Source organism: Homo sapiens, chromosome X, assembly GCF_000001405.40.
Source record: "Homo sapiens chromosome X, GRCh38.p14 Primary Assembly".
NCBI classification, from domain to species: Eukaryota; Metazoa; Chordata; class Mammalia; order Primates; family Hominidae; genus Homo; species Homo sapiens.
The window spans coordinates 139282066-139295755 of record NC_000023.11 but is presented as its reverse complement, the minus strand read 5'-3'; positions in this window follow the sequence as shown (position 1 = coordinate 139295755).

Sequence of the window (13690 nt, the reverse complement as noted above, 5' to 3'; positions counted from 1 at the left end):
GAATAAATTGTAGCTAATGCATGACTATTAGGGCTTAAAAGGAAAACAACATGAAGCTAGAATTAAGAACAAATTAGTGATAAGTGGTAGTTATAAAAATGATGCCTGGAACACCACTCAGTTGGGAGTAACCCAGAGATCTGAAGGACTGAATGAACTGTATTGAAGGGGGTCTTGCTCAGCCACTGGAGTTTTCCCCAACATGTGGGTGGGCCTGGGCAAAGGGCAAAGGGACATGTGGAAAACTTGAGGTTGGATTCCACAGCCTAAGGCCAGTTGCCAGAAGAATGCCTTTCAGCAAAAGGGGAGAATGGGAGGGGCTGGCCTGGTTCTTCAGCGTGCCCTATTATCTTTATGTTGCTAAATCTAATGGATATTTTTCAGTCTTCATTTTACTTGACATCTGTCCCAGGAACTACCCTTGACCAGGCCTTCCTTGAAGCATTCTCTATCCTAGCTCTATTTCTGGTGGCTTCTGCTCAGTCTTCTCAGTTTATCCCCCTTTACCTGACTTAACTATTGGAGATGATCAGAGTTCTGCCTTTGGTCCTCTTTTGTGCTCACTTTCCATTCTCCCTAGGTGAATTCATTCACTCCCTGGTTTCAGTTATCACCTTGGTGCTGAAATGACAGCAACAAGATTTTTATTTCTAGTCTGCACCTTTCTTCTGAGCTCTAGATCTATATATGGACCTGTTCACTTCCATGTCTTAAAGACACCTCAGTTCAACATATCTCAAAATGAACACATCTTCCTCTCACCCTGCTCCACTGCTTTTCCTCCCATGTTTCCCATCTCAGTGAATGTCACCACCATCCACCCAGTGTGCAAGCCTGAAAGCAAGGAGTCATTCTCAACACCTGCCTCTCCTTCACACTCCACATCCAATTCATCATCAAGTGTTTTCAATTATAACTCTAATATCTTCTCAAATCAACCCACTTCTGTCATTCCCTCTAAACACCCCCCTTTGTCTAAGCTACCATCATCTCTCACTGGATAATAGCATCTGAACTCGTCTCTGCAATTTTCCCTCTGATTTGCCTTCCCGCAATCCATTCTTTGCATAGTAGCTAGTTCTTTAAAAAACATAAGTCCAATCTTGACACTCTCTGGCTTAAAATCCATCAACAGCTCCCCATTGCCACTAAAAGAAAGTCTGAACTCCTTATTACGAACACAAGGCCTCGTGTGATCTGAGCCCATTAACCTCATCACCTCATTTTGTACCGTTCCTTCTTTTGCTAATTTAGCCTCAGACGCACTAATCATATCTCAATTTCTTAAATATGCCACATGCTTTTCTTCCTTAAGGCCTTCCCTCATGTTTCCTCTGCCTCTAATAGTTTCTCCAACCCACAATCCTGCCTCCTACTGCCTTTGCCTGGATAACTCTGCATTCTTTAGAGCTCAAGTCAAACGTTACTTCCATAGAGAAGGCCCCCTGAAACTCCAGGCTGGGTCAGGATCTGCTGTCTTAGCAACCTGTTCCTTTTTTTCTGTCACCTAGTTGTCAAGCAAGAAATTACGACATGAAGTATATATAATTACAATTACGCAGTCGCCTTTACTAGACTAAGTATCATATTGCCAGGGACAGTGTCTGCTTTTGATTCACATCATATTTCTAACACCTAGCATAGCACTTAGTACAAAATATGGGTTCCAATCCATATTGGTTAAATAAATAAATGAATAGCTCTAATCACCTTGTGTTTATTTCTTGTTTAATCAATTATCATTCCAGATCACTGAGGGCAGAAACAGTGTCTATTTTTCTTACCACTGTAGTTTCAGTGCCAACCTCAGTGCCCAGTGAAGGAGTTTGTGAGTTGGGTTCAGGAATAGGCACCAGCCTTGCCTCAGGGACAATGAGAAAGGTAGGTAGAAGCCTGCAACTGAATGCCAAGCCTGCAAGAGGTACATTCCATATTCTCAGCAAGAGAAGCCATAGCTGGCAAGGCAGGCCTATCCAGAGGGGACTTCTGAAGCTCATCTCTGTCACAGATGGGCTCCCAGAACAAAAACACTGAGGCAGGCCCTCCATTTGCCAGAGGCTCACAGAATAAGCACCTCCCCATTGTGGACATTAGTAGTGAAGACCTAACTGCCACAGGTAACAGGACTGAGCACAGCAGGCATCTAGGCAAGCTTTGACTGATAGCTTTTAGGAACAGCAGAGGTAAGGAACACCAGAGAAGGTGACTATGATAGCTATAATAGGAAGTAAAGTTTCACAGAATTTGAGAAAAGTAAGAGGAAGCTCCTATATATTGAATGCTTACCAGACGCCAAGCACTGTGCTAAGGGTTTTACAGACATTGTCTAATGTAATCCTTGAAAAACTTTGTGAAGTATGTGCTTCATTATACATGAGGAATAATGTATATTGAGGGATAATGTATACATGAAGAATAATGCATAATGTAATGTACGTTATACATGAGGGAACTGAAGCATAAAGGGATTAGGTTATTTTTATCAAGGTCATACACCTAGTAAGGTGGCAGAGTCATCTTGAACTCCGGTGTGGAGATTTGCTCTCTGGACATTAAAGAAAATGGAATAGACTTACAACTATGTGAATTACAACCACGGGGCCTTGGTACCCCCATGTGGAAACTGAGGAGGCTGGACAAGATTGCCATCAAGGACCTTTCTTAATCTTTCCACCTGGCAGCAACAAGTTGTTTCCCTGGGAGAAGTGGCTGGGGCCCCTTTCAAAGCCCAGTTGTCCTCTTCCTGGTCTCATTGTTCTCTGCTGTCAGCCTGGACCTAGGATACCTGCCTTAGTGCCTTCCATGAAAGCTTTGTTCCACTTCCTCTGTGAGTAGAAGAGCTGACTGTTATCTGCTGCCACAGCTTCCTCACCCTCAGGGCTCTTCTATGTCTCTAGCACAAGCTGATTTAAATCCCTATCTTCCCTTTACGGGGCGCCATTCCAGCCCTCCACTCTGGTCTCCCAGTCAGGGTTGCCAGGGAGGGAACTGAGGCCCAGGGTACTGGTTCTCAGGCAGTTGGAGGCCTAGCTTCATGATTCACCGTCTCATAATGGTAATTGCTACCCCATACAGGGCGTGTCTTCTGTGCCTGGCTCTGTGCTAAATGTTTTACTTGTGTTACCTGATTTGATTCTTGCCACAACCCTGTAAAAGCAGATATAGTCATGCCCATTTTACATACAAGCAAACAAAAGCCTAGAAAAATGAAGCCCAAGAGCTCACATCTAGAAAGTGGACATAACTGAATTCCAAAGCCAATCATTTTCCTCCTACACTGTTTCCCTGTCACTTAATCTTTATGTGGGTTTTGGCAAGTGACCTATCCTCTCTGAGTCTCATGTAAGAAATGAGGATGACAAAACGGTCCACCCCATAGGGTTGCCATAAGACTCACAAAACGTAATGTGGATACCTAACACATAGTAAATGTTCCATGCATTGCATTAATAATAGTTGTTGTAATTGCTATTGTTAGAGTTATTATAACATCACTACTTTAAGCTATCCCACTAAGCTCTTCCAGCCATCCCTCTTCCATGCACAACCAGGGATCTATGGTATAAGAGCAAAACCTCTTTGTGGCAGGGGAATATGGTGATGTTTTGTCTCTCAACAGTCAGCTGCCCCCTTTCCATTCCCTCTTCCCCTGGACCAGTTTCTGAGTCATGGCTCTGCCCAGGTGACAATAATAGTGAGGTAATCTACATAATAGGCAACTGAGCTATTCGTGCCTAATAAAAAAGTGAACTTCCTGAGGCTAGCCAGTCAGTGCCTTTAAATAAAACTGAAATCAGATGAAAAAAGAGATCTTTACAATTGCTTAAATCACTGCCTCCTGCACCTGTGGAAGGGAATATGTGGCAGTCATATGTTGAAATCTAATATGCAGGCTCCTAGTCTCTTAGAACTGATTACTTTAATGAATTTTAAAGGTAGAGCTTTAATTAAAACAGGTCTCTGTGGACAGAAAGCATGCTATTTTGTGAGCTCTGTAAATATTGCCTTTTAAACTAATAAGTTCAGTTACCAGAAATACTACTGCATATAAACAGTTGGTATTTTTTTCTTTCTTCCTGTGCTGTGGAAACATAACTAGATATTGAAGAGAGGCAGGCTGCATTTCAAAGCCTGGCATTTGGCTTTCAGAATAATAGTGACTTAAATGTGCAGGACATCTTTCTCTGCTGGAGCACAAGGAACTTTCAAGGCATGATCTCATCCTGTCTTCAACTATCTTCCTATGAGGCTGGACTCAGGAAAACAGCATTGACTATGGCAGCATTGACAGGCCTTTGTGACTGGCCTCAAGCCTTCCATTGCACCCCTACCCCACCCTCTACATGACTGAGAAGACTGAGGTCAGCCAGAGGGACTCCACAATTTCCTTTCCGTTTCTCCTCACCCAGCCATTACCACTTTCATCTCTTCAAAAGAGGAGTAATAAATAATATCAGTGTTGTGTATGATAATAGCTGATGTGCATGTGCCAGTCACTGGATTAAGCATTGACATATATTATTTCATTTAATCTTCTAAACAAACCTGTGAGGTAAGTGCTAATATTATCCCCAAGAGTTCCTCCACTTCACTCAGAATAACAGCCAAAGCCCTTGCAATAGCCTGCAAGTCCCTGTTAGCTCTCAAACTCATTGCCTCCTCTCTTTGCCTTTACCTGGTGGAGTATATGAGAGATGAGGACAGGCTAGAACAGCAGGCCCCACATTTAGAAATTAGCCTGCCAATATTTTTTAAAAGAGACCCTTTATTGGGCACCTACTCTATGCCAAGTTTCAAGCCAATCACTTTTACACAAATTATTGACCTTTCTCAGCCACTCTGTGAGAAAAGTATTGTTATTATACCCATCTTAGTGATGAGAGAACCAAGGCTTGGAGAGGCTGAGTTACTTTCTTAAGGCCGTATATCTGGTGTAAGACAAGCCAAAAGCTTAAAACCAAACTGTCTACCTGCTCTCTTTTCATTAAACCCACTGCCTCCCAAAGCCTAGAAATATGTCTGCAGACACATGAGGAATGCTACAACCTCTCCCACATCTCACAGTGGTCTCATTTCTTAACTTCCCCTAAGCAGCAGCATAATTTTATAGGCTGAGAGGAGGAGTACATGACTTGTATCACCTGTCATTCACCTCTAATTATGTGACTCAGCTATTGAGTACTTTACTGTCAGAGAGCAGCTCCTGTCAGTAGAAAGTTCTGTCTTCATTCAAATAACCTCTAATTTGTGGCCTGAATATTTCCTTTTCGGTTATTTAGAGGAGGTATTAGTCATGCTGTGGTCAGTTTCAGGATCCCCACATGTTCTCCCTAAGTTTTTACTCATCTTCAGATTTATTTCAATGACTTGGTGATTTGCAATCCTGACTGAAGACCAATGAATGGAGGCCCTTGACTCTGGAGGATGTGGCAGAGACCCTTAGCACTCACCAACATTCATGTTCTAATCATATTAGGCACACTTGACTATAGTTCCCAGGCTGCAATAAGGTACGGCCACATGATTATGCCACATAAAATGTGAGAGGAAATGATGTGCACTGTGTCTAGACTTAGCTCATAATGAGTCTTTGATCCTCACTCCCTTTTCCTATGTATTAGATTAGTGCATAGAACTCTGAGGACTTAGAGGAGCCTGGGTCCTGGATGACAATGTGGGAACTGCTCAACCAGGAATATTTGCATTGGATGGTGACATGAGTTAGAAATAGCCTTTTTGTGTTAAGTCATTGAAATTTGAGATACAGAAGCTAGCTTTATTTTCTCTAACTAATATAGAGGAAAATATAATTTTGGGGTGTCCATAACTTAGATTGAAAGGAAGGAGGTGAAACAAGTCAAGAAAAGCAGAAACACTGATGAGGAGGAACTGATATATGCTGGAATGAACAACCCTCTTTCTCCACCTCCTTGTATTCTTTATCTTATTACTGTCTTCTCCTTTCTGAAAAGAAATCAACAGAACTTTGACCGAGTGAGAGCATTACTTTCCATGTAGAGTTGATTAAAGCAGCAGACGCCAATGAGTTAATGACTTCCATGTACGTGCAAACACATTGATCAACCTCAGTATCTCTCCAATTGGTGGAATATGGGGGAGATATTTTTGAGGAGGGTTCTAATGTGTGGCAGTCACTACTGACCTGAGGGAGGTCTTCTGTCCCCACCACCAGTCCTGGTGCATCTATCTAAAGGTAAATCTGTCCTCCTAACCCTTCTGCAGTGACTCTGACCCATGAGGGTCAATACAAGCAGAATCACTATTGGGGAATGGTGATTTGCGTATTCAATACCAGATACCTCAGTGGAGAGAGGGCCCTGGGCAGGAATGCAAAGAATCTATATTTTTAACAGGTAACACAGAGGCTTATTGTAGCTCTCATCAACCTGTGGAGGCATTACTCTTAAATCTGGAAGAGATTTTGTATGGATTGTACAGATGGAGGCTTCGGAGAGTGAAGTAGACTAGACTTGTTCAGCATCCTATGGCTGGTCAGTGCCAGAGCGAGAACTAGATTAAGGCTGACTGCTCCAGACTCTTTCAATGTAAATTTGGGTTTCATCATTTCATAAAGATGAGAAGTAATTTTAACGTGATAAATCTTTTAGAGTGTACTGAGCTTGGAGGCAAATCTTCCCCCAAACTCAGGGGAAGTTGTGGAAATATAGCTGAGCGAGTAATATCTTTGAGTATATATTTATTTGATGATATCATAGTGTTGTAAATGAAGTGTTTCTTTCTGAAATATTAATTTGGAGATTTGCCTGACATCATGCAGTTTTTGCCTCTGCTGTGTTATGTGAAAAACGTGTTTCTTAATGAATGACTAATAGCTGCATGTCTGTTTATCATTATTTAGTCATTAAACATTTACAGAGCATTTATTGGGGGCACCATGCTAGGTGTTGCTTGCGGGAGTGTGCCAATGTATGGGCAAAAGACAGTGCCCTCTTCTGGGGTACTGGCCCTTAAGCTTTCAAGACCCACCCCATATTCTTGCACAGGAGCCTTCAAGAAAGCCAGAGGAGCTTTCATCACAGAGTGACATTCTACCTTCCCCTGGTCAGCACTGCTCAGTTTGTCCAGGCTCTCATATTTTTCTCTTCGTGGATTCATTCCCATAGTCTTTATTGCTACTTAGCCTCTTCTGCGTTTAAAGGTCTGTTGTCCTGCTTTTCTTAAGCACTACATTTTTTAATTATGCAAAAATTATATATTCTTTGTAGGAGGTATACAAAATATAGACAAGCAAAAGAAGAAAAAATGCGTTAATTCCACTGACCAGAGTAAAACACTGCTGACATTTGGTGGACATCCTTCCGGTCTTCCAGAGCTACCAGTCTACATATAGAGATGCATATATTTCTGATTTATCAACATGGGATTATAATTCACGCACTATTTCCTTTTTCTATTTTTTTTTTCTTTGACAGAGTCTTGCTCTGTTGCCCAGGCTGAGGTACAGTGGTATGATCTTGGCTCATTGCAACCTCCGCCCCCCAGGTTCAAGCAATTATCTTGCCTTAGCCTCCCAAGTTTCTGGAGCTACAGGCATATTATACCATGCCCGGCTAATTTTTGTATTTTTAATATATATATGGTTTCGCCTTGTTGACCAGGCTGGTCTCGGATTCCTGGTCTCAAGTGATCCTCCTGCTTTGGCTTCCTAACGTGCTGTGGGATTATAGGCATGAGCCACAACACCCAGCCCACACACTATTTTATAACCTGCCTTTTGATCAACTGTGAAAATTTTTCCATCACCATAAATACATGTTTTACTTTTATTTTTGATGACTTGAATCACATTTCACTGTAAAGGGGTATTATCATTTATTTACTTAAATAATCACATCGTACTGAATATTATTTCTAGTTTTTTCACTGAAATATGCAGTATTTCTGTATTCCATATCTCCTAACCCAATGACTGGTAAACATTTGGGTTACTGCTAAGAGTTAACAAAGGCTGCTGCCAGCTCACCCGCCCCACCCCTACTCATCAGCAGTGATCTGGCTGGGGCCTGAAAGGTGGAGAACCTGGTCTGCAAAAAGGCTCTGGCTTATCTTGGCATATTTACTCATTTCTAAATGGGAATCACATTACTTGAAATACAAACATAATTTAATGACTTTTAAAAATATGTAGCTGTCTCCATTCTAACTGCCCATTAAGGTGGGGTGAATGCCTTTAGAATGGTTTGAAAAATGATATGCAGATAAATGTGAAGTTGAGAGGGAAGGAATAAAAAGAGAGGCAGCCTGCCATATATACCACAGTTTCAAATCCATTCTGCCACTAACTCTCTGAGCAACCTTGAGAAGACCTTTTGCCAAGCTGGGCCTCAGTGTTTCAGTGTACACAAAAAGGTGGATGGACATTGATCTTTAGGATTCCTGCCAGTTGTAATGATCTAAGACTACAAAACCAACAGGTTGAGGTTTACAATTCATCTCCACCTCTTTTTCCAAGCTATGAGGTTTTTAGAGAAGGAAGTGTCTTGTATAGTCTAACAATACTTCAGCCTGGGTCCAAGACCTGAAGGGAAAAAATATAATATAATCTGATCACCCTAATCAAAAAGGTTGAATTAGCTTGCCGTAATTTCATGCTTTAAAGCCTTCTGACTAGGACTAACTTAATGTACCTTATAGAATCTAAGATGCCACATATGTAAGATACTCTCTTATGTTACATACCAATAAGAATTTTTTTAACACTGAAAATTCAACTGTGATACAATTCTGTCTTACGATTCAATTATGACATGCATTCCAATTCAGTGTTGCTAAAATTTCTTACTCAGTAAGAAAAATAATCTTGAGATTATCTACCCTTTACACCTCCAGACTCCTTTATGTTGTACAGGGGAAGAGGGACCAAGGAAGTAATGTGAGTTTCCCAAGGCCACAGAGACAATATGGATCTAGAACCAAAATGCAATAGAAAAAGAAAAGTATTTGCACAATGGCAGGGTAAAAATCTCCAAAAACACACCCCTCTGTGAAGGCAAGGAAATCACTGGCAAAAGTTGTCAAAATCAACTTTTTCAGAACTCTGGAAATTAACTAAAGGCTTGCAAAAATCCATGGAGCATTTTATTCAAGTAAAACAGCTGAATCTTGATAAGAACAGAGAGCTTTGTGGCGCTTTCACTTTCCCTATTCACATCTTTCTTTCCTCAACAGCAGCCTTGAAAATCAGCTGCCCAGCAGCCAGTGGAAAGGGAAGAATGGATTGGAGCTCCCCCAAAGCCCATCCCTAGAGAAGTGTCACTATTGGACCTAGTTAGTTGGCAGCATGCAGAAAAGTGCCATTCTCAGGGCTTTTCTTTCTTTGACCTGACTCACATCTTGTCCACGGCAAATAACCCTATCCACAAGGTGTTTGGTAAAAACGATCAGCAACAATTGCTTAATAGTGCAGCTGCCTGATACAGAAATATCAATTTGAGAAAAAAGAAGCCAGCCAAAACCTTTAGAGGCAAAACTGGGAAATGGGATGCCCGTGGGGTGTTTTGAAAAACTCCAACAAAGTCCTGGGTATCTAGAAGGCCATGCATGTACATAGAAATGTGAACATGCCAAGGAAAGTCCTCAGAGAGCACTAATATATCACCTAGGGCTAATATGGAAGCCCTGCACAAGCAGGAAGTAAAAGCTAAGGCAGAGTTGCCAACTGCTGGAACGTTTAAACAGGTACCCTAAAACACACACACACACACACACACACACACACACACACACACACACACACGTTCAAGAGCAGTGGTAGCCAATCTTTTGGCTTCCCTGCACCACACTGGAAGAAGAAGAATTGTCTTGGACCACATGTAAAATACACTAACACTAACAACAGCTGATGAGCTAAGAAAAAAAAAAACACACAAAAATATCTCATAATGTTTTAAGAAAGCTTATGAATTTGTGTTGGGCTACATTCAAAACTGTCCTGGGCTGCATGCAGCACACAGGCCATGGGTTGGACAAGCTTGCTCTAAGCAAAGGGTGGAAGAGTTGTTGATTTGGTTCACAACATTTAAGAAAAATCTTTGTTGACTTATTAGCTTACCACTACAGTGATGAAACAGAGACTTCAATTGCTGCCCATGAAAGATAATAGAAACTTTATAGAACTTGTCTAGGAAAGCCACTAAACAGATGAACATGAACAAAAGCAAAACACCAATAAACAGTAATAGCAATAAATTCTGGAGAGAAGGAATCTGATTTTCATAGTTACCATATTATATTATTATAAAGGTTCAGTTTAGAATCAAAAATTAAGATGTCTGAAGAAACAAAAATATATGGCCCACATACAGGGAGGGGGAAAGCAGTCAATAGACATTTACCCTGAGGGAGCCCAGATGACAGATTTATTCTCCAGAAACTAAAACTTAGCCATTATAAACATGCTTCAAAAAACTAAACTATAGACCAATATCCCTTATGAATATACATGCTAAAATCTTCAACAAAATACTAGCAAACCAAATCTAGCAGCATATCAAAAAGATTATACGTCATGAACAATTGAGATTTGTCTAATGAATGCAAGGGTTTCATTATAAAAATAAATTAATCAATGGTTATTAGTCAGCTAAGGCTACCGTAAGAGAATACTACAGACTGGTTGGCTTAAACAGAAGAAATTTAAGGCTGAAAGTTCATGAACAAGATATTGAGAGGGTTGGTTTTTGTTTCTTGTAAGGCCCCTCTCCTTGACTTGCAGATGGCCACCTTCTTGCTGTGTCCTCACATGACTTTTCTTCTGTGAACAGGCATTCCGAGAGTATTTGCGTTTTCTAATAAGACACCAGTAGCATTGAATTAGGGTCCCACCCTTATGACCTCATTTAACTATAATTACCTCCTTAAAGGCCCTATATTCAAATGCACTCACATTGGAGGTTAAGGCTTCACTATGTGGATTTGGGGCACACAATTCAGTCCGTTACACAATGTAATAACCACGTTAATAGAATAAATTTTAAAACCCACATGATTAGCTCAGTTGATGCAGAAAAACATTTGATACAATTCAATGCCCTTTCATAATAAAAACGAAACTAGGAGGGATAGAAGAGAACTTCTTCAACGTGATAAAGAACATTTATGAGAAACCCACAATGAACATCACACTCAATGGTAGAAGACTAAAAGCTCTTCACCTAAGATCAAGAACAATACAAGGATGCTTTCTATTGTCACTTTTATTCAATATTGTACTAGAGATTCTAGTTAGAGCAATTAGACAAGAAAAAGAAAAAAAGAATCCAAACTGGAAGGGAAGAAGTAAAATGATCTCTATTCTCAGATAATGATATGGTTTGGCTGTGTCCCCACCCAAATCTCATCTTGAATTGTAATCCCCATAATCCTCATGTGTCTAGGGAGAGACCTGGTGGGAGGTAATTGAATCTGGGGGTGGTTCCCCCAAGCTGTTCTCGTGATAGTAAGTTCTCATGAGATCTGACGGTTTTATATGGGGCTCTTCCCCCTTTGATCCTCACTCTTCTCTCTCCTGCTGCCTTGTGAAGAAGGTGCTGACTTCCCCTTCCACCATGATTGTCAGTTTCCTGAGGCCTCCCCAGCCATGCAGAACTGTGAGTCAATTAAACCTCTTTCCTTTATGAATTACCCAGTCTTGGGCACTTCTTTATAGCAGAGTGAAAATGGACTAATACAGATAACATGGTCTTACATATCCTACAGTATCCACAAAAATTTAGTGCTAATAAATTAAGAAAAGTTCCAGGATACAAGATCATCATTAAAAGATCAGTTGCATTTCTGTGCACTAAAAATGAACAATCCATAAAGAAACTCAAGAAAATAATTTCACTCATAATAGCATCAAAAAAAGAAACACTTAACAATAGATTTAACCAAGGTGGTGCAAGACTTGTACACTAAAAACTGCAAACATTGTTAAAAGAAATTAAAGAAGAATTAAACAAATGAAAAGACATTGGCATTCATGAACTGAAAGAATATCGTCAAGACAGCAAAACTCTCCAAATTGATCTAAAGGTTAAATGCAATCTCTATCAAAATCCCAATAATTGAGTGTAGTGGCACACACCTGTAGTCCTAGCTACTCAGATGGTTGAGACAGGAGGATTACTTGAGGCCGGGAGTTTGAGGTTACAGTGAGCTACGATTACGCCACAGCACTCCAGCCTGGACTCTGTCTCAAAGAGATAAATCCCAGTAATATTTTTGTGCATAAATAGAAATTTTGATCCTAAAATTAATATGGAATTTAAAGAGACCTCAAATAGGCAAAACAATCTTAATAAAGAACAAAGATGGAGGGGTCACACTTACCATTTTAAAAGTTTACTAAAAAGCTACAGTAATAAAAAAAAGTGTGGTAAAATCATAAAAAGTGTTCATAAATAAACCCACATATCTATAGTCAATTGAATTTTGATAGAAATGCCAAGACTATTCCATGGGTAAAGTACAGTCTTTTGTTAATACATAATAATCATACATATTTATGAGGTATGTCTGATGTTTTGATACATATATACAAGGTGTAATGATCAAATAAGGGTATTTAGGGCATCCATTACTTCAAACATTGATCGTTTCTTTGTGCTGGGAACATTTCGAAACTTCTCCTCCAGCTATTTTGAAGTATACAATAAATTGTTGTTAACTATAGTTACCCTACTCTGCTGTTAAACACTAGAACTTATTCCTTTTATCTAACTGTATGTTTATACTCATTAACCAACCTCTCTTTAGCGCCCCCTTCCCAGCCTCTGGTAATCATCATTCTACTCTCCACTTGAGTGAAATAAACTTTTTAGCTCCCACATACAAGTGAGAACCTGAGAAAACTGTATATCCACAAGCAAAACAATGAAGTTGAACCTTTACCTTACAGCACGTACAGTACATGGATTCCGTGGGCTCAGGGGTATACTATACCATTTTAGGTAAAGAACTGGAGGCCGGGCGCGGTGGCTCACGCCTGTAATCCCAGCACTTTGGGAGGCCGAGGCAGGCCGATCACGAGGTCAGGAGAAGGAGACCATCCTGGCTAACACGGTGAAACTCCGTCTCTACTAAAAATACAAAAAAATTAGCTGGGCGTGGTGGCGGGCGCCTGTAGTCCCAGCTACTCGGGAGGCTGAGGCAGGAGAATGGTGCGTGAACCCGGGAGGCGGAGTTTGCAGTGAGCCGAGATTGCACCACTGCACTCCAGCCTGGGCGACAGAGCGAGACTCCATCTCAAAAAAAATAAAATAAAATAAAAAGAAGAACTTGAGCATCTGTGGATTTAGATATCTACAAGTGGTCCTGGAACAAATCCCCTGTGGATACTGAGGGACAACTGACAAAAATTAGCTCAAAGTGGATTAATGACCTAAACATAAGAGTTAAAATGATAAAACTCTTAGGAAAAATAAAATAAAATTTATAAATCTAAAGAAAATGATATAATTTAAATAATATATATAAATTGTCAATGAGCACATAAAAAGATGTTAAATATCACTATCATTTGGGAAATACATAACAAAACCACAATGAGATACCACTTTATACCCATTATGATGATTATTATCAAAATAACAGAAAATAAGAAGTGTTGACAGGGATGTGGGCAGATTGGAGTCCTTATACACTGCTGGTGGGAATGTAAAATGGT